The 27,245-nt window shown below is 46.5% G+C and overlaps 1 long non-coding RNA gene across 3 annotated transcripts in view, besides 1 other annotated feature; it reads left to right on the top strand.

Moving 5' to 3' along the window:
• LOC105378641 (uncharacterized) overlaps positions 1–27,245 on the top strand; it is a 227,461-nt gene that overhangs the window by 34,720 nt on the left and 165,496 nt on the right. The window lies entirely within an intron of this gene.
• Positions 10,225–10,724: an enhancer, noted in NCBI's record as "H3K4me1 hESC enhancer chr1:35105477-35105976 (GRCh37/hg19 assembly coordinates)". NCBI's record gives its function as "activates a minimal SCP1, AML or CMV promoter by ChIP-STARR-seq in primed H9 embryonic stem cells {active_cell/tissue: H9 hESC(primed)}" and the evidence as "EXISTENCE:reporter gene assay evidence [ECO:0000049][PMID:30033119]".

The raw sequence follows: 27,245 nt of genomic DNA, 5'->3' as shown, positions 1-27,245 counted from the left end.
GGACTGCTTGGGTCAGTGCGGCTTTGTCTCGGTCTTAGAAGCTGTAGAAGAGGGCGGCAGGGTCAGCACCGGGAAGATGAGGGGAGGAAGGCCAGAAAGCCAAAGTTCAGGAGCCATGACATGTCTGGATTTGGGGAACAAAGAACAGAGGATCAAGGATCAGGGAAGTGTAGATGACCTCTTCTTTTTCCCTCCCTCCCTCCCTTCCTTTCTTCCTTCCTTCCTTCCTTCCTCCCTCCCTCCTTCTTTTTCTCTCTTTCTCTTTCTTTCTTTCCCTCCCTCTTTCTCTTTCTCTCTTTCTTTCTTCTCTTTCTCTTTCTTTCCCTCCCTCCCTTCTTTCCTTCCTTCCCTCCTTCCTTCCTCCCTCCCTCCTTTTCTTTTCTTTTTCTTTCTCTTTCTTTCTTTCTTTCCTTCTTTCTTTCTTTTATTCTCTCTCTCTTTCTTACCTTTAATTTTTTTTTTTCAGAGACAGAGTCTCGCTTTGTCATGTAGGCTGGTGTGCTGTGGTACGACCATGGCTCACTGCATCCTTGACCTCCTGGCCTGAAGTGATCCTCCCACTTTAGCTCCCAAAGTGCTGAGATTACAGGCATGAGCCACCATGCCTGGCCAGTGACCTCTTCTGAATGGTTTGTATGCTGTTTAAGCAAGATTTTACTGGGTCCATAATCAAAGAGATTTTCTTCCCCCAAATCACATAGCAGTAAATGGAGGGAGAATAGATTCGAATCCATCCTGTTGGATTCCACCACATTCCATTGTCTCCTGTGTTAGTGGGAAAGGCTTTCCTCCTACTCCAGATGTTTCTTCGGTGAAGGTGGCTTAATTAGTGTAACTGAGTCCTTTTCTACCCCACTTGTTTTTGCTACCCTGGGGAGATGGAATGACTTATCTGACTGGCAAATTTAAGAAGAATAACAGTCATGTCTCTGTGGTACCTTGTCTCCCTTGGGGGTGATCTGGCCTGGATGAGACCATGAGGGCTCTACCTTGCTGTGTGTCTTGACTGGGCAGGGTTCCTGCAAAGAAGTCTGCCCTGTTCTGTGTGTGTGTGAGAAACTTAAACTTGGAATTCATTGTCCTAACTGTCATCACTAAGCTACATCCTCCAACTCAGCCTCTGTCAGTAATAATATCAATATTTTGATCTCTATCTGTTTTATATTTAAAAATTCTGCAGACTGAGTCAAGAAGGCTGCCACTTATTGAGAACCCCCTGGAGACCCCAACAATATTGCAATGGTTAACAATATAAATAATACTAACAATCATAATAGAAACAATGCCTGTTCATGGAGATTTTACTATGTGCTAATAGCCTTACATGGATTATCTCAAGAACCACTTGCAACAATCTTAGGAAGTAGAAGCTATTATTTCTCTACTTTACTGTTGAGGAACTGGGAGTTTAGAGTAATCTGGCTATTAAGCAATGTGCCCAAGTCACACAATTAGTCTGAGGTAGAACCCAAATTTTACTAGGCATGACCAAAACCATGCTCCTAACCACTAGGGTATACAGCCTTCTGGAAGGAAAGGTCTATGGAGATGATGTCATTAGGGATGGCTTCCTAGAGGAGGAGGGGACAGAGGCCCTGAGCTGAATCTTGAAGGCTATGCAGATAAAATACTTTGAGCTGTTAGTTTACCAATTCCGTTTTGCTTTGTTCATTGGCAGATCCCAATGCTATGTGCTCCATAACTCTCGGGTGCCTCTCCCTCAAATTTAGATATCATATCATTTGTTTAACTTGCTGAATAAAGTAATTAGTACCTGGGAGCCTGCCTGCCTGGCAGAATATATTGGTGCAGCTAACGAAGTTTATGCCTTCAGGCTGTGCAGTGGAATTTGATTTAATTTGTCCCAAGGTTAGGAAAGACGATGGGAGACTTTGGCATCTTCTCCATCTCTGTCTCGGAGTAATTCATTGCCAGTGTGGAGGGAGGCAGCATTGGGCCGTTTTAGCACTAATGGAGACTCCAGAAGCTTTCCCAGTGGAATCTGACTTGCTTTATGGATGCAGCTGAGCAGCTACCAACTTCCCTTGCAAGGGAGATGCTGTCTTTCAGAGTCACAGGGACCACGCCTGGGGAAGGCACCCTCTCAAGCCCATCCATGGCAGCGGCTGCTACAATGGCTTTTGCCTACAAGATTGTGAGCTCCTTGGGGTGGGGATTTTATTTTATTCACTGTCTCTGTTCCAGACAAGGCATTAGGTGGGACTCTGCCATTCACCTTGTCCTGTCCCTGTAATGATGATTCTGTTTGAGAGGAAGAACAAAACTAACCCTTTACCTTCCCCAAGGCCTCTGCCCCAGCCAGCCGACCTCCTCCCTGCCTATGGTACACCTTTACCATTTGCTCCATGCTGTTCTCCCAGACAATGCCCTTTCTCTCTGTTTTTAAGTCTCTGAATCCTTCCTACCCTTTTAGTCTCAGTTTTACCATTCCTTCCTGTAGCCTTTTCTTCCCTGGATTGCTCTAGATGGTATAGTGCTGGGAGACAACGTAGGACAGAGAGTCAGGATGCAAGCTCTGGAGCCAGATTGTCTGGCCTCAAACACCAGCTGTATTGCATATTTGCTGTGTGATCTTGGGAAAATAACTTAACCTCTCTTTGGCCTGGTTTGCTCCTCTCTCAAATGGGAGCAGATAGGGTCTTGTGAGGATAAATGAGTTAATCTGCAGGTAAAGTACATAGAACTGTGCTGGTAAATGGTATGTGCCATCTAAGGGTTAAACCATAACAACGTTGCTCTCTTCCTCTGTGTTCTGTGTCCTCTGGGGACTTCCCGCCTTCAAGAGGCTGCTGGGTTGTGCACCTGGTCTTGCATCCAGTGACATCTGGGCCAGCACATCCCTTCTCCTCACTTGGTTTCCCCAGGGAGCTGAGTTAGGTGTGAGGCTGACCTGTCCCCTTCTTGGCCACCCAGGCAAGTTGGGCTGGCTGGCATGCAGGATGTCCGTGCCCTCCATCAACTTTCACGGTCTGGGTGCTCTGTGGCAGATGCTGGCTTTTGCAGATAGAGAGAAACCCTTTAGAAGTGTGCTGTTCAAGGGAGGAGCGTAGAAACACCAGGGGCCCTGCCCAGGGATGGGGTAAAGGAAGAAGAAATGATTGGAGGTCTTAACTTGGTGGCAAAGTGCCTGCTCCCAAGCTCAATGAACTGGGGAAGGAGGATAAGGAGAAAAGACCAGCAGACTTGGGGATGACATCCTTGTCTGGGTCTCTGCAGAGATGTCAGGGGAGGAGGGTTAGGGGCTGCTTCCAGGGCACAGCTAGGACCCAAGGGGAAGAGGAGACAAGTTTTGGCTCAATAACAGGGTGACTGTTCTCGTAACTAGAGCGGGTCATGTCAGGGTCTTTGTAAGGCAATGAGCTGCCCATCACTGGAGAAGTTAAGTACAGCTTGTGTGGGATTTGTTGTGCTGACACTTCTTAAGAGCTTACTATGTTCTAAGCCCTGCATTAAGTCCTTTATCATCTCATCTAATCCTCATCACAACTTCATAAGGGTGGGTAAAATATAATATGATAAGCCTCATGTTATAAATAAAAAGTTAGAACCTAGAGGGTTTATGGGATATACCCAAGTCAGGCAGGCCACCGAGAGACCTTGGCTTGACCACCTATTATATATTACTGGGTACATTGCATTTCATTCCTTTAAGTTTCCGTATCTGAAAACTGGAGATCATGAAGTACTGTACAAGGTGAATACCCAGCAAATATGAGCTACTGTTATTCTCAGACACGGTCATCTCCTCAGGTGAACACAGCTGGTTTCAGCATCTTTTTTTCTGGTCAGGTCACTGTGGTCCTGGGTTGAGTCAGACTCCAGTCTCTTCTCTTACTTGCAGCTGAAAGTCTTGGCTGTGCCAACAAACATTTCCTTAAAGAATGTTCTTGGGGATGTTTGTAGGTATCCACGAAAAAGGTACCTTGATCAGAGCAGTGCAGGAAACAATGGGTTAAATAAAGCTAGCCTGGTTATTTCTTGCAGGGCTTCTCAGAGCATTTAGAATGCTAATGTGCACTGTGAATCTCCCAGAGAAGGCTAAAGTATGCAGCATTTCCAAAATTTATTTAATCATGAACATCTTCCATCCTTTTATTTTTGGTGTCATTGCCCAGGATTGTTTGCTGACTCCCTAGCCAATAACTTCTGCAAAAGCGCATGACTCTCAGGCTATTGGTAAAGGGGCAGGGAGAGTAATCAAGACAGGAGGCTGTCAGGCTAGCTGGCACCCAGGCTGGTTCACAGAAGCTGCCAGGAGAATGGCCTTCCTTAACTCTTGGCCAGAGGTTTCTCTCATGTGGTGACACCAGCAGATAGGCAGACAGGTGCATGATGTGAATTCACTGACAACTGCTTATGATGGTGGCAACCATTGGTGGTAGAAGTGACAGCAGGTACCGTACCCAGGACATTCTTGAGCACATGGGTTTCATATATCCTTTCTACCACTCAAGTCTGCCCCCGTGTGCTTTAATTCTTTAATCCTAAGTGCAATGCTCTCCCAAGTACTGTTCCAGGATCTCCTTCTCAGGTTATGAGAATGTCAGGATCATCCGATCTTTTCCTCATTGTCATTTCTGGGTCACCAAGATTCTTACCATCTGAGGTATGTTTTTTCTTGCTTACCAAGAGGTTTATTTATTCTACTGATTCAATACATCCCATGTCTACCAAGAAAAAAACATAATAGATCAAATATTCCCAAGAATGCATAACCACAGCAGAACCTCTTACAAGGTACACTTCCCTTTCTTATTATCTAACCTAATTATTTCTCTCTGTTATAGCACAATACATTTTCCTCCTAATCATTGGTTCACTTGGGAATCATGTCTTAAAGACAGCTAGAGAAAAGGAGGTGAGGGGCTTTGCAGGGTGGGAGTGGAGGGCTCTGTCTCCAGGCTTCAGCTCTGGCAGTGCTGTGGGGTGGAGGGAGTCAGCTTTCAGCCCGGGAAGGGTCCAGCCAAATGGTTCTGAACCTGTGGCCTCTAGGCCCTTTTGAGAAAGAAAAATGAGTCAGCATCAGTTCCGGTGTAGTTTGCTTCCCTTCTAATCGGTGCCAGGGCCCCAGATACCAGGGCTGTAATTACTTATGCTGTCGAGAGAAAGGAGTTCTTAAAGTGATTTATCATGGAGGCGACAGAAAATGACAATTGCTCATCACTTAAAACAATGAGCCTGCCAGATGCTGACTACGCAGGTGTGGGCACGTGGGGTGGCAGCATTCCATCTCTGTAGGACTTCACTGGTGGAGTTAATGAACAATTAGCCCCCCAAGGGACATTGCCTCCAGGGAGAGGCACCCATGGTCAGGGCTGTGACTCCCATGCAGGCTCTTCTGAGAGGTTTTAAAAACATGTATCACACTTTTACTCTATCAGGCACTGTGATGTGTTTCATGTAGATCATGACATGAGGTGGAAATTATCTGTCAGGTGTGCTGAGAACCCCAGGGAGGCAGGGGTCCCCATAGCTGGACCACCCTGAAGGGCCAAGAGAGCCAATTGTCATGGCAACTGGCCAAACTCATATACCGACTCCCAGGACCAGGGCGGGAGTTGATGGCTTAACTTAATGTTCCAGAGGCAGCAGTGAGCTTTGGGGCTTTCTCTGCCCCTGCATTTCACCCCGGACATCCCCTTAGGCATCCCTGACTTCTTACCTCAATGTGGCAGATGGAACGTTCTTTTCTGTCTTTTCTCCCATCTTTGTTTTCCTCTGGCTAGACTCTTGTGCAAGAAAAGCCCGTCTGTGCATCAGGACCCTCCCCAATCTCTCGTGCATGGCACACACTTCTCCCATCTCTCCTCCTCAAGATGCACTTCAGTGCAGTTGTGAGTAGCACTGCTGCTGGAGTCTGACTGCCTGTGTTCAAATCCCAGCTCTGCTCGTTAGCTGTATGACCTTGAGCTAATTATCTAACCTCTTTGTGCCTTGGTTTCCCCACTTGTAAAACAGAAGTACTTTAAACATTAAAAAGATTAATGTATGCAAAGTGCTTAAAATGGCTTTGTGTGTTACTGTTACTTACTTCCTTTAATTAATATCTTGAGCCTCTACTGTGTGGTGGTAGTGAGACTGATGCCAGGATACATACAGTGGTCATCCTCACAAGCACAGCTCTGCCCTCGAGTCTTCTTGAGCAAGCCGACATTGGACAGATAATCACACAAATAATTATGTACTTAAAATCATGACAAATGCGACAAATGTGACATAGAGGGAATACAGAAGCTAGGAGAGCATTTAACAGGGGGACATGACCTTGTGTGGGAGATCAGGAAGGCTTTCCTAGGGAAATAATGTTTAAGCAGAAACTTGTAAGATGAATAAGGGTCACCAGACAAAACGAGAATAGAAGAGAGTGTTCCAAATATACAAAAAAAAAAAAAAAAAAAAAGTAAAGCATGTACATAGGCCCTGGCTGCAAAGAAGCATGGCATTTTTGCAGAGCTGAAAAGAAGACCAGTTTGGACAGGGCACAGATAGAGTGAATGAAGTTAGGGATAACGGCTTATTTTCTTTTTCTGGTCTTTCCTGGCCTCTCTCTCTCTGCTCCTTCCCTCTCTCCTCCCAGGGAAGACAAGTGATTATTCTGACTAGTGAGTTTGAGACGAGGTGCTGGGTATTCTGGACTCCGTTAGGGGTCTCTTGGCAGTAAACATTCTGCCCCTGCAGGGTGAAGTCTACAGTCCTACCGTTCCTTGAGGCTGGACGTGTGAGGATGCTTGATGATGAGGTGGACTTAGGAAACCCAGTGTTGACACTTAAGCCACAGTCCACAACAATATACTTTCAACAACGCAGCTGATGTCTTGATCTCCATCTGCAGGACTTCATAAGTTCTATATTAAGGCAGGGTAAGAAAGGGGTGTCATCTATTGGGCCCTATGGGAAGGGGCCAGACCATGCGAGACCTTATCAGCCATCTGCTCTTTCTCCACTCTCTGGCCCATAGTTAGGTGTTTCTGTTTGGAGGTAGGATCAAGTGCCGAATATTAAATATTTTTAATACAACTCTGTTTTTCTTTTATTGTTGGTGGGCTAGGGGTGGGGGAAATGAGTCCAGAAACCTCTTTAATATCGAAGGGTCCGGGGATTCAATTATACTTGTCTCTGACAGAAAGTCAATTTTAAAAGAATACATCAACAGTTTAAATGGTAGTGCTGGCTTTTTTCTGCAGTGAGAAATTTTGAATTCTCTAGTTTGGTCTCTTTGAGCCCAGCCAGCCTGGTAGATTTTGGCCCAAAGCATGAGGGACCCCATCACCCATTTACCCCTACTTGAACTGCAAATGGCACGAGGCTTTCAATTCTTTTGCAGTTCATTTTTGAAAGGACACACCTTCCATCTCATTTCCTCCTTAGGAGAACCTTGCAAAGGGAGGAATTTTTGTCCCATTTTACAGATGAGGTAACTCATGCTTACACAGGGGAAGTAACTGGCCCAGGGCCACACGGTGACAAGTGGAGGGTCCAGGAATCGAGGCCAAGTCTCTATGATTTCAAAGGCCATGCTACCATCTGCTGGAAGCCTTGTCATTTTATTAGTCAGGGTTTGCTCATGACTAGCCCATGAGAGAAAAATGGAGTGACTGGGAAAATAAGAGGCAAAACTGCAGTTGCAGGAGCCTCAGGCCAGGAGCCATGGACACACTCACTCTTGCCTGCTAGCCTCCTTTACTCCCATAGTGGGCAGTCATGTTCCACTTGGTGGAGAATGGGGCCACACAGTCCCCGGTTCCTATTGCCAGTACTGAACAACCACTTCACCTCTCAGCTTAAAGATTCCTTCTTCAGGGAAGCCTTCCAAGATGCCAAGGTTAGGCCTCTCTGTCATTCCCCTCCATGGCACTGATCTCAATTTGTAATGATTGATTAATCTGTGTTATTTGATTTGTCCCTTGAGGTAACTATGACTCTTCCATGAGACTCCGAACCTCATAAGGAGATCGCCTGATACAACCCTGGCATTCTGTAGGTAGTTCTTGAATGAATTTGTTGAATAAACTCAGCAAGTGAAGAAGAGGGGGAAAAGTGTTTTAGGCAGAGGGAATAGCACTTGTCAAGGCCCAGAGGACGGAACGAATCTGGCACTCTAAAAGCAAGCATGTTGAGTCTGATCAGATTGGACTGGAAAGGGAGGGGCAGATCGTTAAGATGTTATAAATCCAGTTAAGGCTTTTGGACTTCCTCCTGGGTGCAATGAGAAGCCTTTGCAAGGTTTTAAGCAGGGGAGTGATGAGGTAGATTTGTGTGTTAGCAAGATTGTTTTGGTTGGAGCAAGGGGTGAAGCTGGAAGCAGGGAGGTCAGGAAGGAGGCTCTTGGAACAGCCCAGGAGGGAGACGAGGGTGGCGTAAACATCGATGGTTGCTGTTAGTGGTGTGGGAGGGAAATGACACATTTGGATGATGGGATGGGTAGGGCTTGGTGTAGAAGGTGGGTTAAGAAAGATTGGCTGGGCACCGTGGCTCATTCCTGCAATCCCAGCATTTTGAGAGGCTGAGGCAGGTGGATCACCTGTAGTGAGGAGTTCAAGACCAGACTGGCCAACATGGCAAAACCCTGTCTCTATTAAAAATACAAAAAATTAGCCAGGTGTGGTGGCTGGTGCCTGTAATCCAGCTCCTCGGGAGGCTGAGGCAGGAGAATTTCTTGAACCTGAGGGGCAGAGGTTGCAGTGAGCCGAGATCATACCATTGCACTCCAGTCTGGGTGACAAGAGCAAGACTCCATCTCAAAACAAACAAACAAAAAACAAAAACAAAAAACAAAAAACCAGAAAAGGTGTCAGGAAGAGGCTTGGGTTTCTAACTAAGGCAACAAAGCAGTAAGCCTGTAGTTTTGAGTGGACGGTTGTTGGTCTGGGCTCATTCACAGTGGCAGGGTTGAAGCCAGTTCCCACAGGGCTCCTGACTTCACACATTTTAAAGGGGTTCTGAGCTGGGCATGGTAGCTTATGTCTGTAATTCCAGCTACTCTGGAGGCTGAGGGGGAGGATTACTTTAGCACAGGAGTTTGAGATTAGCCTGGGCAATATAGCCAGACCTCAACTTCCTACCAAACAAACAAACAAACAAACAAAAAATTTCAGAGTCACCCTCAACAGGTAGAATTTATCCTACTACAGATAGAAATTCTGGTCCAACTGTCTGGGCCACCTGAAATCCCAGCTGGGTCAGCTGCAGGAACTCAGGAAGCCTTTTCTGGGCTGCCACTCAGAGAAAGACACTCTCATGTGGGAAACCAGAGGGCCAGTGCCTTCGCAGTCTGAAAAGCAAAGCTGAGTCCACATCAGGATTAGGACGTCTGAAAAGAGCCAGTTAAGGCTTGTTCATACAATCCCAGATGTAAACACCAGGGAGCTTCCTTGAGTCTTGAGAAATAAGCACGGGCCACAAAAGGAAGCTGGGTTTCCTTACCTTTGTCTTGAGAGGAGGTTAATAGGCTCGTGGAACTTATTACCTAGGGCCGGCTGGGATCAAGTGATTGATTTATGGATTGATTGACAGCCACTCACCCAACAGATACTTATCGAGGGCCTGCTATATTTTGCTCTGCAGTGCCCTGAGGGTTCGAGGTCTTGGACTTGCTACTAACCTACCAGGTAACCATGGACAATCCCGTTCTCCTTCTTGGATTAATAATCATAAAAGCCACACTTTACTGAGTCATGAACAGGTTCAAGGTGCTGATTGCTCACCACTCACAACAGTTCCTTGAGGTAAGTATGGTTACACCCATTTTACAGATGAGGAAGCTGAGTTTGGAGAGATTTAGTAATTTACCCAGGGCCATATGGAAGCAAGGTGGAGCTGCAGTTCCACTCCAGTGCCAGAGGTCAAGGGAAAATGCACTCTCCCACGGGGCATCTTGGCGGTGAGGTGCCAGGAAAGAGTTTTAAGTAGAAAGATGACACAATCAAACCTTTGTTTGGAAGATGGATCCAATGTGGGGTGACCAGAAAGGAGGTGTTATAGTGGTCCAGGCTGGAACTAGGGCAGGGACTGTGGGCTGGAGAGGCAGGGCTGGATAAGAGTTACATGGCAAAGGACAAATCCCCAGCACATTGGGTTGGAGTGGACAGAGCAGTGGGAGATTCTGAGGTTTTCAGTGGTGTGGCAGGAAGGATGATGGCAGAGACAAGGAGGAGTGGAGGAAGAGGAGGTTTTGGGGGCAGATGAGAGCTTCACAGCCTAGAAGTAGCCCTGTCCTGGCACTGCGGAAGAGCCTCTGTCCAGACAGCAGTGCCTGAGGTCATCTGTGGTGTGGAATTCTATCTTTCTTTCTTAATGGTTTCCCAGGCAGGGGCCATATCTTCCTGTTTACTCTTTTAAGAATTATTTGAAATGGAGTGTATGTGTGTGTGTGTGTGTGTGTGTGTGTTTATTTCTCAGCTTTTAACCTTGCCAACTTGTGCCTCTTAAATACTAATTACCTCTTGGGCTCTGACAATTCTGCTTTCTTAAAACAGCCTCAGCAGGCCTTTCCTGCCCACAAAAGGCCAAGAGTGTGGATGTCTCTGTGCCGAAGGCCTCTGGACAGTGCAGGTTTTGGGGATAATTAGCCAGGGAGGGTGAGGCTCCAGGAGCAGACAAGGTGAGTCAGGGTTGGCAGCCACTGCGTCTCCCCAGCAGAGCTCTGGTGCTCGAGGCAGGAGATGCTGCAGCAAGCTGCTGGCTGCGATACGTCCTGTCACCCCAGGCCTAATGAGAAGAGTCAGGCCAACCACAGTGCCTGCTGGGGGGCGGGGGCACCATTGGGACCAGCAGGCTTTTCCCGGGACGGGCTGACAGCCGCATTGTTTCCTTAGTGCTGGAGGGGAAATGAGATTCCTCCTAGGGGGATAGTGTCCACCCTACAGTCCACCCAGTCCTCAGTCGCCAAGCTCCCCACTCCCCAGGACCAACCCTGGGCAGAGCAAAGGGATGTATGTGTGGGAGAGGGGGAGGTCCTTTGAGAGGTGGGCAAAGTCAGGGCCTGTGCTTTAAGTTACCAGATGTAATGAGAGGTGCTGTGCCCCATTCAACCTCTCCCCAACCCCCAGCACCCCATGCAGCATGGTTAAAATTAGTGGTTAAGATCTCTTGGTAATCAGGCAAACCTTGTTTGAAATGCCAACTCCTCTTCTTCCTAGCTGTGTGATGTAGGCGAGTTACTCAGCCTCTGCAAACCTGAGTTTCTGTAAAATGGAGATAACAACAGAGTTGGCCTTCTAGAATGGTAGCCGTGGCTTGATGAACTTGTATTTGTTTGCTAGGACTGCTGTAACAAAGTATTATAAACTATGCTTTTAAAAAAACAGGATTTTAGTGTCTCACAGTTCTGGAGGCTGGAAGTTTGAGATCAAGGTGTTGGCAGGGGGGTGTCCTTGGAGGGCTGTGAGGGAGGATGTGTTCTGGGCCCCTCTCTTTTGTCTGTAGATGGCTATGTTCATGCCATGTGGCATTCCCTTGATATGCACGTCTGTCTCCAAATTTCCCCTTTTTCTAAGGACCCTAATCATCTTGGATTAGGGCCCACCCTAAATACCTCATTTTAACTTGATTATCTCTGTAAAGACATATCTATCTCCAGGTAAGGTCACAGTCAGATCCCCAGTCAATTCCCAGCCTGGGTGCTGGGAATTTTGGGAAATGGTGACATACATTTTAACCCATGACAGAGAAAGATGACATGCAAAACACTTAGTAGGGCACAGAATAAGTGAGCTATACGTTATTATTATTGTCCTTGCCATAATCCTATCCCTAATCTCCAGCCCCCTTCTGAAATGTGCTCTGTTTCAGCTTCAATATCCTGTCTGTTCCCCAGAGCTTTCTCGCCTGTGCTTTCCCACCCTAATCTCTATTTTCTGTTTTCCCCGACCTGAGAATTCAATCCTCATCCCCAAGATGGAAAACGATCACTGGGAATGTTGTGACAAAGGTTTAGATCACTGGGTGTGTGGACCACATGTGAAGGGGGCTGGTCTGAGCCTAGGTCCTGGCTGATAACTGAAGCCTGTCTCCTGCTTCTGTGATGGTCATCCTCTGGGACTCCCTTACCTTAGTCTCTAGAGAAAGATGTGGCTGAGAAATAAAAATAAAATTTGAAGCCCCACAACTAAGTGAACAGACCCCCTCTTGGCCAAAGGAACCTCAGAGAAATTGTAAAAACTGAGTACCCATCCAAGACAGAATGGGATGGGGAGGCAAACACAACTTGTTATATCCCCTCCCTCACTGACTACCATTAGACTCTTTCCTAAAGGTGAAACAGAAACCAGCTCTTGTGAAAGACTTGTCAGATGCCTCCCTTTTTGCAGTTCTGACACAACCGACTAGCATTCCTTCCTGATAAGAGACCACTGACTGGGCTGGGCATGGTGGCTCATGTCTGTAATCCCAACACTTTGGGAGGCCGAGGCGTGTGGATCACCTGAGGTCAGGAGTTTGAGACCAGCCTGACCAACATGGTGAAACCCTGTCTCTACTAAAAATACAAAAATTAGCTTGGCGTGGTGGCATGTGCCTGTAATCCCAGCTACTAAGGAGGCTGAGGCAGGAGAATCACTAGAACCTGGTAGGCGGAAGCTGCAGTGAGCCGAGATCACACCACTGCACTCTAGCCTGGGGGACAAGAGTGAAACTCTGTCACAAAAAAAAAAAAAAAAAAAAATAGAGACTGCTGACCATGGGCTGGTTCTGGCCGGTTTACAGAGGCTGTGCACAGGATGCTTCTGCATCCTTTCTTTGACCTTTTGACATACAGAGCCTAACTTTACTGCATTTAAAAGTTAAGTCTCCACCCAAAGTGATATGGTTTGGCTCTTTGTCCCCACCCAAATCTCACCTTGAATTGTAATAATCCCCACCTGTCATGGGAGGGACCCAGTGGGGGGTAATTGAATCGTGGGGGTGGATTTTTCCCATATTGCTCTCATGATGGTGAATAAGTCTCATGAGATCTGATGGTTTTATAAAGGGGAGTTCCCCTGCACATGCTCTCTTGCCTGCTGACATGTAAGACATGACTTTGCTCCTCCTTCAGCTTCCACCATGATTGTGAGGCTTCCCCAGCCATGTGGAAGTGTGAGTCAATTAAACCTCTTTCCTTTATAAATTACCCAGTCTCTGGTATGTCTTTATTAGCAGCATGAGAATAGGTTAATAGACAAAGTGAACATGGATGTATGTACCATGTATGTTTGTTTATTATGCATGCATATGCCCCACTATCATGAATAGTCATAGCTCCTCCTGTAACCCACTAAATGTGTATACTTATCCAACCCATTTTGCATAAATTACTCTTCCACCCTTACCTCCCTTGTAGTGCTTGCTTTTGGTTTCTACTGGAGGCTACATTTTCCCACCTGTGGGATGGCCAGCCCACAGGCTGCAACCCTTATAAGAAATAAAGCTCTTCTTTCCAAATTTGTGAATCTTGTGGTTCTTCAATTGATATGGATAATGGCTAAGAATTTGGACTCCAATATCCCTTGCCTGCTAGCTTATGGATCAGCAAACTCAGTCTGTGGGTGATATTTGGCTCACTGCCTGATTTTTGTAAATAAAGTCTTATTTAGACAATTACACCCATTCATTTATATATTGTCTATGATTGCTTACATGCTGCAAAGACAGAGTTGTATATTTGCATCAGAGATCAACCATATGGCCTGCAAAGCTGAAAATAATTACTATTTGGTTCATTATGGAAAAAAGTTCACTGACCCCTGTCTTAACTTTATGATCTTGGCAACTATCTTGACCTTTCTGTACCTTACTTTCCCATTTATTAATTAGAGGTGGTGATGGTACCTTTCTTATGGGGGTGTGGTGATTGTCAGGCCTCTGAGCCCAAGCCAAGCCATCACAAAGGTGTCAGACCATGCAGGGACGCCTGCCTTGGTCCTTCACCCTTGGCAGCAAGTCCCGCTTTTCTGGGGGAGGGGCAAGTACCCCAACCCCTTCTCTCCGTGTCTCTATCCCTTCTCTGCTTTTCTGGGGGAAGGGCAAGTACCCCAACCTCGTATCTCTGTGCCCCGATCCCTTATTTCCACGCCCTGACCTCGTATCTCTGTGCCCCGACCCCTTCTCTGCTTTTCTGGAGGGCAAGAAACCCCCACCCCTTCTCCGTGTCTCTACTGTTTTCTCTGGGCTTGCCTCCTTCACTATGGGTAAGCTTCCACCTTCCATTCCTCCTTCTCCCTTAGCCTGTGTTCTTAAGAACTTAAAACCTCTTCAACTCTCACCTGACCTAAAATCTAAATGCCTTATTTTCTTCTGCAATGCCGCTTGACTCCAATACAAATTCGACAGTCGTTCCAAATAGCCAGAAAATGGCACTTTGAATTTTTCCATCCTGCAAGATCTAAATAATTCTCGTAAAATAGGCAAACGGTCTGAGGTGCCTGACATCCAGGCATTCTTTTACACATCAGTCCCTCTCTAGTCTCTGTTCCCAATGCAACTCATCTCAAATCTTCCTTCTTTCCCTCCCACCTGTCCCCTCAGTCCCAACCCCAAGCATTGCTGAGTCTTTCTAATCTTCCTTTTCTACAGACCCTTTTGACCTCTCCCCTTCTCACCAGGCCGAGCTAGGTCCCAATTCTTCCTCAGCCTCCGCTCCTCCACCCTATAATCTTTTTATCACCTCCCCTCTTCACACCTGGTCCGACTTACAGTTTCGTTCCGTGACTAGCCCTCCCCCACCTGCCCAGCAATTTACTCTTAAAAAGGTGGCTGGAGCTAAAGGCATAGTCAAGGTTAATGCTCCTTTTTCTTTATCCCAAATCAGATAGCGTTTAGTCTCTTTTTCGTCAAACATAAAAAGCCCAGCCCAGTTCATGGCTCGTTCGGCAGCAACCCTGAGATGTTTTACAGCTCTAGACCCTAAAAGGTCAAAAGGCCGTCTTATTCTCAATATACATTTTATTACCCAATCTGCTCCCAACATTAAATAAAACTCCAAAAATTGGAATCTGGCCCTCAAACCCCACAACAGGACTTAATTCACCTCACCTTCAAGGTGTACAATAACAGAAAAAAGTTGCAATTCCTTGCCTCCACTGTGAGACAAACCCCAGCCACATCTCCAGCACACAAGAACTTCCAAACGCCTGAACTGCAGCAGCCAGGTGTTCCTCCAGAACCTCTTCCCCCAGGAGCTTGCTACACGTGCCGGAAATCTGGCTACTGGGCCAAGGAATGCCCGCAGCCCAGGATTCCTCCTAAGCTGCGTCCCATCTGTGTGGGACCCCACTGAAAATCGGACTGTTCAACTCACCTGGCAGCCACTCCCAGAGCCCCTGGAACTCTGGCCCAAGGCTCTCTGACTGACTGCTTCCCAGATCTTCTTGGCTTAGCAGCTGAAGACTGATGCTGCCCTATCGCCTCGGAAGCCCCACAGACCATCACGGACGCTGAGCTTTAGGTAACTCTCACAGTGGAGGGTAAGTCCGTCCGCTTCTTAATCAATACGGAAGCTACCTACTCCACATTACCTTCTTTTCAAGGGCCTGTTTCCCTTGACTCCATAACTGTTGTGGGTATTGACAGCCAGGCTTCTAAACCTCTTAAAACTCCCCAACTCTGGTGCCAACTTAGACAATACTCTTTTATGCACTCTTTTTTAGTTATCCCCACCTGCCCAGTTCCCTTATTAGGCCGAGATATTTTAACCAAATTATCTGCTTCCCTGACTATTCCTGGACTATAGCTGCATCTCGTTGCCGCCCTTCTTCCCAATCCAAAGCCTCCTTTGCGTCCTCCTCTTGTATTCCCCCACCTTAACCCACAAGTATAAGATACTTCTACTCCCTCCTTAGCGACCGATCATGCACCCCTTACCATCTCATTAAAACCTAACCACCCTTACCCCACTTAATGCCAAGATCCCATCCCACAGCACGATTTAAAAGGATTAAAGCCTGTTATCACTTGCCTGCTAAAACATGGCCTTTTAAAGCCTATGAACTCTCCTTACCATTCCCCCATTTTACCTGTCCAAAAACCAGACAAGGCTTACTGGTTAGTTCAGAATCTGCCCCTTATCAACCAAATTGTTTTGCCTATCCACCCCGTGATGCCAAACCCATATGCTCTCCTATCCTCAATACCTCCCTCTACTACCCATTATTCTGTTCTGGATCTCAAACATGCTTTCTTTACTATTCTTTTGCACCCTTCATCCCAGCCTCTCTTTGCTTTCACTTAGACTGACCCTGACACCCATTAGGCTCAGCAAATTACCTGGGCTGTACTGCCGCAAGGCTTCACAGACAGCCCCCATTACTTCAGTCAAGCCCAAATTACATCCTCATCTGTTACCTATCTCGGCATAATTCTCATAAAAATACATGTGCTCTCCCTGCTGATCGTGTCCGATTAATCTTCCAAACCTTAATCCCTTACAAAACAACAACTCCTTTCCTTCCTAGGCATGGTTAGTGCGGTCAGAATTCTTACACAAGAGCCAGGACCGCACCCTGTAGCCTTTCTGTCCAAACAACTTGACCTTACTGTTTTAGCCTAGCTCTCATGTCTGCGTGCAGCAGCTGCCGCTGCTTTAATACTTTTAGAGGCCCTAAAAATCACAGACTATGCTCAACTCACTCTCTACATTTCTCATAACTTCCAAAATCTATTTTCTTTCTCATACCTGATGCATATACTTTCTGCTCCCCGGCTCCTTCAGCTGTACTCACTCTTTGTTAAGTCCCACAATTACCATTGTTCCTGGCCCGGACTTCAATCCGGCCTCCCACATTATTCCTGATCCCACACCTGACCCCCATGACTGTATCTCTCTGATCCACCTGACATTCACTCCATTTCCCCATATTTCCTTCCTTCCTGTTCCTCACCCTGATCACGCTTGATTTATTAATGGCAGTTCCACCAGGCCTAATCGCCACACACCAGCAAAGGCAGGCTATGCTATAGCACAAGCCACTAGCCCGCCTCTTAGAACCTCTCATTTCCTTTCCATTGTGGAAATCTATCCTCAAGGAAATAACTTCTCAGTGTTCCATCTGCTATTCTACTACTCCTTAGGGATTATTCAGGCCCCCTCCCTTCCCTACACATCAAGCTTGAAGATTTGCCCCCACCCAGGACTGGCAAATTAGCTTTACTCAACATGCCCCGAGTCAGATAACTAAAATACCTCTTAGTCTAAGTAGACACTTTCACTAGATAAGTAGAGGCCTTTCCTATAGGGTCTGAGAAGGCCATGCAGTCATTTCTTCCCCTCTGTCAGACATAATTCCTCAGTTTAGCTTTCCCACCTCTCTACAGTCTGATTAACAGACCAGCCTTTATTAGTCAAATCAGCCAAGCAGTTTTTCAGGCTCTGAATATTCAGTGAAAACTTTATATCCCTTACGGTCCTCTGTCTTCAAGAAAAGTAGAACGGACTAAAGGTCTTTTAAAAACACACCTCACCAAGCTCAGCCACCAACTTAAAAAGGACTGGACAATACTTTTACCACTTTCCCTTCTCAGAAGTCAGACCTGTCCTCAGAATGCTACAAGGTACAGCTCATTTAAGCTCCTGTATAAATGCTCCTTTTTATTAGGCCCTGGTCTCCTTCCAGACACCAGAGCAACTTAGACTGTGCCCCCAAAAAACTTGTCATCCCTACTATCTTCTGTCTAGTCATACTCCTATTCACCGTTCTCAACTACTCATACATGCCCTGCTCTTGTTTACACTGCTGGTTTATACTGTTTCTCCAAGCCATCACAGCTGATATCTCCTCGTGCTATCCCCAAACTGCCACTCTTAACTCTTGAAGTAAATAAATAATCTTTGCTGGCAGGACTATGTTGAATCTCCTTAGGCACTCTCTAATTAGACGTCCTAGGTTCTCCCAATTCTTAGACCTTTTGTACCTGTTTTTCTCCTTTTCTTATTCCATCTAGTTTTTCAATTCATACAAAACCGTATCCAGGCCATCACCAATAATTCTACACGACAAATGTTTCTTCTAACAACCCCACAATATCACCCCTTACCACAAGATCTCCCTTCAGCTTAATCTCTCCCGATCTAGGTTCCCACACCGCCCCTAATCCCACTCAAAGCAGCCCTGAGAAACATCGCCCATTCTCTCTCCATACCATCCCCAAAAATTTTCGCTGCCCCGAGACTTCAACACGATTTTATTTTATTTTTCTTATTAATATAAGAAGGCAGGAATGTCAGGCCTCTGAGCCCAAGCCAAGCCATCGCATCCCCTGTGACTTGCACGTATACATCCAGATGGCCTGAAGTAACTGAAGATCCACAAAAGAAGTAAAAATAGCCTTAACTGATGACATTCCACCATTGTGATTTATTCCTGCCCCATCCTAACTGATCAATGTACTTTGTAATCTCCCCCACCCTTAAGAAGATTCTTTGTAATTCTCCCCACCCTTGAGAATGTACTTTATGAGATCCACCCCTGCCCGCAAAACATTGCTCTTAACTTCACTGCCTATCCCAAAACCTATAAGAACTAATGATAATCCACCACCCTTGGCTGACTCTCTTTTCGGACTCAGCCCACCTGTACCCAGGTGAAATAAACAGCTTTATTGCTCACATGAAGCCTGTTTGGTTGTCTCTTCACACGGACGCACATGAAAGTGATGATTAAATGTGCTGATACATACAGTGCCACGTAGGCTATTAGTATTATTATTATACAAGTCACAGCCAAACTCCACTGGCCCAGAGCCATGTGCCCTCAGCTGGGGTTGTAATCAGGGCCAAAGGCTTGACTTCACAGCCTTGCTGGAGGAACTTGGCCTCTCTAAACCTATAGCATCCAGACCTCCACCGGCAATTTCTATTAATAGTTTGCATAGATGGGCCTGCAGTGCCTCTCTGTTTTTTATCTCCAGCTGCCCCACACAGGATCTCACACTTGTTCCAGTTTATGCCATCTCATTCAACAACGATTTGTTGAGGACCTATTAGATATGCAGAGAGTCTTGAGCTGGGCATTAGCCAGGGCAGGAGATAAATACAGCATCATCCCTGCCGTCACATTTATCGTCCTCCTTCTACTCCTTATGTAATAGGATGCCTGGTAGAGACTCAGACCTTACAATTTTTGTAGCTGAAAAAATTTTGAGCAGTATTGTAAAAATTTTGAGCAGTTTCTGTCTTTAAGGGTGGAGACTGAAATTTACCTTTAGGGCAGACTGTCCCTTTGTTCTTGGCAGAACCTCTTGAGTGGGCCCTTGTAGTTATGTAAATGAGAAGCAAGTGCTTTCCCTGGTTCTCCAAGACCTAAATGCCATTGCTTCAGACTGAGATGTTAGGTGTACTGCTTAGTAATGGAAATCAGGTGGGTATTTTAGCGGAATCAGGCCTCTGCAAATTATGTTTCCTTTAGAGAAATGTTTCCTTTCTAATTCTGGATCGAGACTGCCCCAGGCCTGTAAATTGCCACATTTGTATCTAGTTGGTGAGATTTTTCTGCGGCAGTTGTTCCTAGTTGTAATCTTGGAGAGCCAGACTCTGGGAAGTGTACCGGGGGATTCTTGTGGGGCTGCCTTGTTATGGACTTGATGCCAGATGTCTCCCTTGTGGGTGGGTGGGGGTCAGTTTCAGTAGGGGTTCCCATTTGGGGATAGGATGTGAGGATTTGGGAGGCAGGTCTGGACTCCAGAGTGGGAAGGCTGGCCAGCAGCCAGGGAGGGAACCAGTCCAGTAAGAGGTTTTAAAGTTGGAGTTGGGTCTGTGGGTTCAAAGAGTGGCCTCTTCTAGTAGCAGTTCTAAATTATTCTTTCTGTTGTGCTTCCCTTTCTTGAGTCCTAAACCTTCAGTTTGGGATTGGGGGGTGGTGGATTGGGGAAGATAATAATCTGGGGTTTAGAAGGAACAGCCAGTTTCGATTGAGGGCCTCAGAAGTGGATGTCAGTGGTGGATCAGGAGAGGACAGCTAGGCTCAGTAGCCTGGTGTATTAGTCTATTCTCACACTGCTAATAAAGACATACCCAAGACTGGGTAATTTATAAAGGAAAGAGGTTTAATTGACTCACATTTCTACGTGGCTTGGAGGCCTCACAATCATGGCAGAAGGTGAATGAGGAACAAAGTCACGTCTTACATGGCAGGAGGCAAGAGAGCTTGTGCAGGGTAACTCCTCTTTATAAAACCATCAGATGTTGTGAAACTTATCCACTATCATGAGAACAGCACTGGAAAGACCTGCTCCCATGATTCAATTGCCTTCCACTGGGTCCCTCCCAAGACACATGGGAATTATGGGAGCTACAATTCAAGATGAGATTTGAGTTGGGACACAGCCAAACCATATCACCTGGTGACCTCACCAGAGCCCACAGCAGCAGCAAGCAGACCAGCCAAGGGGCTCATTCTGGAGCATTCAAGGCCGTACCCTTGAAAACTCTCAGAATTAGCTGGAGGACAGGTTGAGGGGTACATTTCCAGCAATGAGGAGATGGTTTCATGGAGTATGCAAAAACAGCCACTTGTCACTCTTCATTTCTTTGCCCGTTAAGCCAAAACCACCTGGTAATGATCTGTACTTCCTTTCATCTTAGAATAGTTCACTGTCACCTCTGCCACCAGTTGACATTTGGGATCTGTGTAAATTTAATATCGGTTTGGCCTATTGATATTGGACAGGACAGAGCACACTAAAATAATACCACTTGTCCAGGATAACCGAACCCTTTGGTACTTAGGAGCAGGTGCTGAAAATCCTAGATGTCAAGAGTTCACAATAAGGAGGTAGGAGGGGACTCCCAGGACAAGTATCCCTGAAAAAGGGGCAATGGTTACGATGGCAGGTGGCCCTCTTGGTAATTGCTGTTGTGGTGCCCAGAGGGACTTGAAACCAAAGGTAATTGTGCAAAGTTGCAATGGCAGAAGCTGGTGTTTCTCTTTCCACCAAGCATATTCTGAATGTCCACTTTTGAACTCAGCAGGCAACATCTGTCTTCTAGATCCCATGATGGGTCATTCAGTAAAATCTCTGGGGCTTCCATGAGCTAGATGCCCCTTCTGTGTCTACTGGTGCTAGTACCAGGAATGATCTCCACAGGGGAATTTGGAGCTGTGTGTTCCCACAGAAGGGAACTAGCTGTGTGTAGTGAGGAAGCAGATTAGAAGCAAGTCCCCTCTGAGAGGACCTAGATAAGAAATGATCACAGAGAAAAGAGCAAGAAGAGACTCTAAGGAGAAAAACATTTAGTGCATGAACCAAACACTTTGCACACCTTTGGAGCCATTGAAGTCGGCATCACCTTTGCAAAGGGCCTGCCCCGATCAAGCAGCTCTTTATTGGATAATTCAGGTCGATAGCCTGCTTTTACACAACTTGGGGCCAGATGCCTCTTGGTACATAATGTGTGCCAACTCATACCTGTAGGTGATTTTCACAGATGGTCCCTTCCCCTGGAGGGGGCTTAGTGCCCGCTCCAGGACTCTGAATGGCCCTATTCAAGAAGATCCCCAAACCATAAGAGGAGAACAAGACTAATGGGCTGCAAGTCACGTGGTTTGGAAAAAGAGGTGGCCTAGTGCAGTGGCTCTCAGGACTGGCTGAGACGGTGAGTCCTGTGCCCCTGAGCTGGGATGCGTGCAGTTCTAGAGAAAAGGAAGCTGGGCAGGGCCAAAAGGAAGGTTGACAAATCTCCGTGGCCCACAGGACTGCTGCAGGGCCAATATCCTTTTTCTGGAAACAATGCAGACAGACAGACAGACCCTACAACTTTTCCTTTGAATAGGAACTGAGTTTTCCAGGGAAGGACATTTAATAAGTTTCATTCAGGAAGTCTGTTGCCAATAAAGACTTAACAAAGTTAATTAGACTAAACAGCAATTATCATGTCGCCTCATTGTTCAATTATCTGCTGAACTGGTGTTTCCTGATTAATTTTCTGATTAAAATGTATTAAACTGAAAAGACCAGCAAACAGGCCCTGACAGATTCCTAAAGAAAGAGGGAGGTTGCAGTTGCCTGTGCGGGACACTGGGCACTGGGGCCAATGAGGTTGTCTTTCACCTTTTCAGCTAGGGGACAAGGGAAGGCCAGAGGGTCCAGCAAGGTGGGAGTGATATCTGTCTACCTGCATCCCCACAGACACACCTATCAACATCTCCACTCAGAGTCCTCCTCCCAAACCTGGACTTCCTCCTATATGGGAATGGCATCTTGGCAAATGGTGCCTGTAGGTGGGTGGCAAAAACCTGGGAGCTGCCTTCAGTCTTTCTTGACCCCCTCCCACCATGTCATCTCCCCCTTCCTTAACCAGCTAAGCATGGTGTATTAGTCTATTCTCACACTGCTATAAAGAATCACTGAGACTGGGTAATTTATAAAGGAAAGAGCTTTAATTGGCTCACAGTTCCACATGGCTGGGGAGTTCTTTGTAAACTTACAATCATGGTGGAAGGCAAAGGGGAAGCAAGGCACATCTTGCATGGCAGCAGGAGAGAGATAACTCACAGGGGAAATCACTGCTTATAAACCATCAGATCTCATGAGAACTCCCTCCCTATCATGAGAACAGCGTGGAGGAAACCGCCCACATGATCCTCCCACCAGGTCCCTCCCTCAAACGTGGCAATTACCATTCGAGATGAGATTTGGGTGGGGACGCAGAGCCAAACTATATCATATGGATTGTAATCATTTCCTTACAAATGTCCTTAACTCTCTTCCAGCAAAACCTCTGTCCTGGCTAACCCTATCTATTGGTCTTCCTGGAATCTGCACCCAGGCCTCTGAGTATTGCTGGAGAAACCCTTGTAACCCTGCTGACTGATCTCACTTTGAATCTGTGACCACAAACCTCAGATGGGCATCTGACGCTGCCCAGCAATGCCATAACCTTTCCTTCCTACCTCCCCTTCCCCACTCTGAGAGGGCGGGCAGTCTCTCTCTGCTCAAACACTGCCCCTCCCTCCCTCACTGTCAGCTGATGACCTTGCCTTATACTTCACTGAGCCTTAGAAGCAATCAGACAGGAACTCCTGTGTCTTTCCATCAAGAAATTGACAAACCTCCTTCTATGACAATGAAAGACGTGTCCCTACTCTTAACAGAGGCCGACCCCTCCACTCGGGCCCTGGATCCTGTTCTTTCTCCCCTTCTCAAGGACTTTGTTCCTGTAAATATCCTTTCTCTTTCCTGCATCATCAGTTTCTCCTGTCTCAACTGGATCATCCCATTAGCATACAAAATGCTGTAGCACCTCTCATCTTTAAAAAAGAAGAAAAGAAAAATTCCTTTGAACGGCATATATGTACTACAGCTATTCTTTTGAATGTCTGCTACATTTCACAATCATAAAAGTGTAAAACAAAAGTTCCTTCCCTTGACCCCATGCCCCACCCTAGTGTTGTTCATTTTTTATGTGTCCTTCACAATAAAACTTCTCAAAGGACTTGCTTGAATCCACTGCCTTTACTTCCACATCTCTCACTCTCCCCTCTACATACCAGAACTTGGCCCTTGTCTTCACAATGCCACTGAAACTGCTCTTATCATGGCCAGCAATGACCTATACCTTGCCCGATGTAACAGTCCTTTCTCTTCTGACCCATTTATCCTGCAAACGCATTATTCTTTCCCCCTGGCCTCCCTCACTGCTACTTCTATTCTACTTGCCCTCCTTGCCCTCTCCTCCTCCTCTGCACAATGTCTAGCCCATGTGGATTCTGGATCCTCTTTTTCTCCTCTTTCCATGTTTTTATAGGTGATCTCCTAAGACCCACAGCTTTCAACATCTTCTATAAGTTGAATGACTCACAGCTTTATGTCTCCCGCCTAGACATCTCCCTGGAGCTCCAGTGTGAATGTCCAACTTAGAGCTCAACATTTCCATTTGGATGTTTAATAGGCAGGTATAAGAAAGGGGAAAGAATCCCCCAGATTCTGAGAATGGTTTCTGCACTGACATCCATCCTCCTGGTCAGTTGATCGTCTGACCCTCTGACTGTATCTGGCTCATGCCACCACTGGGCTGCTCCCGCTTTCTGTCTCACTGGAGCAGGGCCAGAATAAACTGCTTAGGCATCACATGGTGTTTAAGGCTCACTTTTTTTTTTTTTTTTTAAGACAGAGTCTCACTCTGTCACCCAGGGAGGAGTGCAGTGGTGCGACTTGGCTCACTGCAACCTCTACCTCCAGGGTTCAAGCAATTCTCCTGCCTCAGCCTCCCAAGTAGCTGGGATTGCAGGCATGCATCACCACCACTCCTGGCTAATTTTTGTATTTTTTAGTAGAGGTGGGGTTTCACTATGTTGGCCAGGCTAGTCACAAACTCCTGACCTCAAGTGATCCGCCCGCCTTGGCCTCCCACAGTGCTGGGAGTGAGCACTGTGAGCCACTGTGCCAGGCCTGAGACTCATCTTTGATGTGAATTGGATCGAAAGGGAGAAGTCACCCCTGGGGAAGCTGGTCACCTAGGACCACCCCAGAACCCTGGACACACAGTGGGTTTTCTGTGGGTCTCTCTGGGGGTCACTCACTGAGCTGCAGTCAGTGACAAATCAGCCGGGGCTGGGTGGTCCAGGGACCTTCAGCTGGGACAGTTTGTCTCTGCTTTTTGTGGTCCCATCTTCCAGTGGGCTAGCCTGAGTTCCTTCAAAGGGCAATTTGTGCTTGGGTCTTACATTATAAAGGTGACTAGGTGATGACATGAGTCAGTGCCATTGAAAGAAAAGTTGAATGTTACTCCCAGTTCCCCTAGAAATAAGAGGCACGGAACAGCTTGCCACACGGGGCCACAGAGGGAAGCGTCAGTGGTGGTCAGGAGGCAGAAAGGAGGGAGTGGAAGCCATGCCCTCTATTGGGTTTCCGCAGGAAGGCAAGGCAGGGCAGGGCAAACGGTTTAGGATTGGCTAGTTTGAATAATTCCAGTGGGCTTTGGAGCATTAGGGCTGTTGCTTGCTGTCTGGTACTTGGTCCTAGGTTGATTTAGGGCAGGGGATTGCCTCATGTGTGAGAGTTGGAGGAAGGAGGTGGCTGGGGGCATGCATGTGGGTTGGTTGGTCTGTATATGAGAGGCATGCTCACCGACAAGCTGTTCACTGTCTCTAGGAATTAGCTAGAGAGGGGTAGTCTCTCCCCAGCCAGCAAAGCTCCCCAAAGATGTCAAAACATTATAAAACAAAGTAAAAAATATGATTAATATACATGGCAGCAGGAGGCTAAGAGTGGAAGCTGTGCAGTGTTGTACTTGAGATCTGGCTTTTGAGCTCCCCAAATAACTTCTGCTGCCTTCTCTTGATCAAAGGAATTTCCTAAGGCCAGCTCAGAACCAAGTGGATAGAGAAATAGACTCCTTCTCTTGATGGGGGAGCAGCTGTACCACATGGCAAAGGGGTGAGCTCACAGGAATTGGAGAGAATAGTAGCCATATTTTGCATCCTACTGTAAGCCTATGGAGTGATGTTTTAAAGATGGAAATCAAAGGAGATCACTGTTTTATGTAAAGCCATCCAACAGCTTCCTTCCCACCACTATTGCAGCAGGCCCCTCAGGATCTATCCTTGGCCCGCCTCTGGTTTTATTTCTCAGCCCTGTCTTTGTTCACTGCACTCTGGCCATGCTGACTCTCTATTTTTTGGATGCTCCTAATTCCAGCCTCAGGATCTTTCCCTTGTCTGGAGCACTTTTTCCTAGAACTTTGCATTTTTGGTTATTCTATCCATTTTTTAGTTCCAGCTCAAGAGTAAGCAACCCAGAGAATCCTTCCTTCACCTGCTAACCAAAGTCACCTTTCCCTAGCTCTAGGATGGAAGTACCTCCGTGCATTTTAATATGTTGTTTTTCTTGTTATAATAGCTAATACTTACAGAGTGCTTACTATGGGACAGGCGTTGTTCTAAGCTCTGAACATACATTAACTCATTAAACCCTTACAACCACCCTATGAGGGGGGTTCTACTAATGTCCCCAGTTAACAGATGAGGAAATTGAGCCACAGAAAAATTAAACAACTTGCCCAACTTCATGGCATGGCACATTCTTATCATGTTTATTTTTGTTTGCTTGTTTATTTATGTAACCTCCACCCTCCCCCAGTGTAAGTTTCATGGGCGTGGAGACATTGGCTCTCTTGTTCAGTGTCTAGAATGGTGCCTCATACACAGTCAAGGTTCCATAAATATTTGTTGAATAAATGAATGCACCTTCCAGGCCAATTTGTTGCCAAATCCTGTCTGCCATACTTCCTAAGTATTTCTTAATTTCAGTGTCTTTCTCTGTCTGTTTCTGCCACATAAGTAAAGATCATCTCTTACCTGGCCCTTTGGACCATCCTCTACAGACTCAATTGCACTTCCTCCAACCCATGGCAGAATGAGCAAGCTGAAATAAAAAGTTAGGGCCTGGCACGGTGGCTCACACCTGTAATCCCAGCACTTTGGAAGGCTGAGGTGGGCGGATCACGAGATCAGGAGTACAAGACTAGCCTGACCAATGTGGTGAAACCCCGTCTCTACTAAAAATACAAAAATCAGCTGGGTGTGGTGGCGTGCACCTATAGTCCCAGCTACTCAGGAGGCTGAGGCAGGAGAATCACTTGAACCCGGGAAGTGAAGGTTGCAGTGAGCCAGGATCGTGCCACTGCACTCCAGCCCGGGTGATAGAGTGAGACTCTGTCTCAAAAAAAAAAAAAAAAAAGCCACATTCTTCATCTTATAAACCTTTTGTAGCTTTTAATCATCATCACAGCAAACTGCAAACTCATTAGAACCCACGTGGCCCTTCCAGACCTGGTTCCCTCTGCTTCTTTGCCAGATTCCTCAGTACCAAACTCTCCACAGCTCCCCCATCTGCACGCTTCTTCCCACAGCCATGCCCTTGTCTGAGGTACATTTGCTTTCTCCCTGCAGACTCCTATTCTACTTTTGAAACCCAGTTTAAATGGCCTCTGTTCAAATGCATGGTCATATAGTTTGTAACTCATTCATCTACACCACAGCACTCATTTATTCATACATCCACCTTTTCATTCATTCATTCAGCAAGATTTACTGGACCCAATCTTCAGAAGCTCAGCCTTGGGGTCAGAGAGTTGCAGTAGTGATTTTTTTTTTTTAATTTTATTTTTTAGATGGAATCTCACTCTGTTGTCCAGGCTGGGGTTCAGTGATGTGGTCTTGGCTCACTGCAGTCTCTGACTTCAAGCAATTCTTCTGCCTCAGCCTCCTGGGTAGCTGGGACTACAGGCATGCCCCATCATGCCTGGCTAATTTTTG

The sequence above is a fragment of the Homo sapiens genome, chromosome 1 (assembly GCF_000001405.40).
Source record: "Homo sapiens chromosome 1, GRCh38.p14 Primary Assembly".
Classification (NCBI taxonomy): domain Eukaryota; kingdom Metazoa; phylum Chordata; class Mammalia; order Primates; family Hominidae; genus Homo; species Homo sapiens.
The sequence above is the reverse complement of the archived record's forward strand: the minus strand, read 5'-3'. Positions and strand labels throughout refer to the sequence as shown.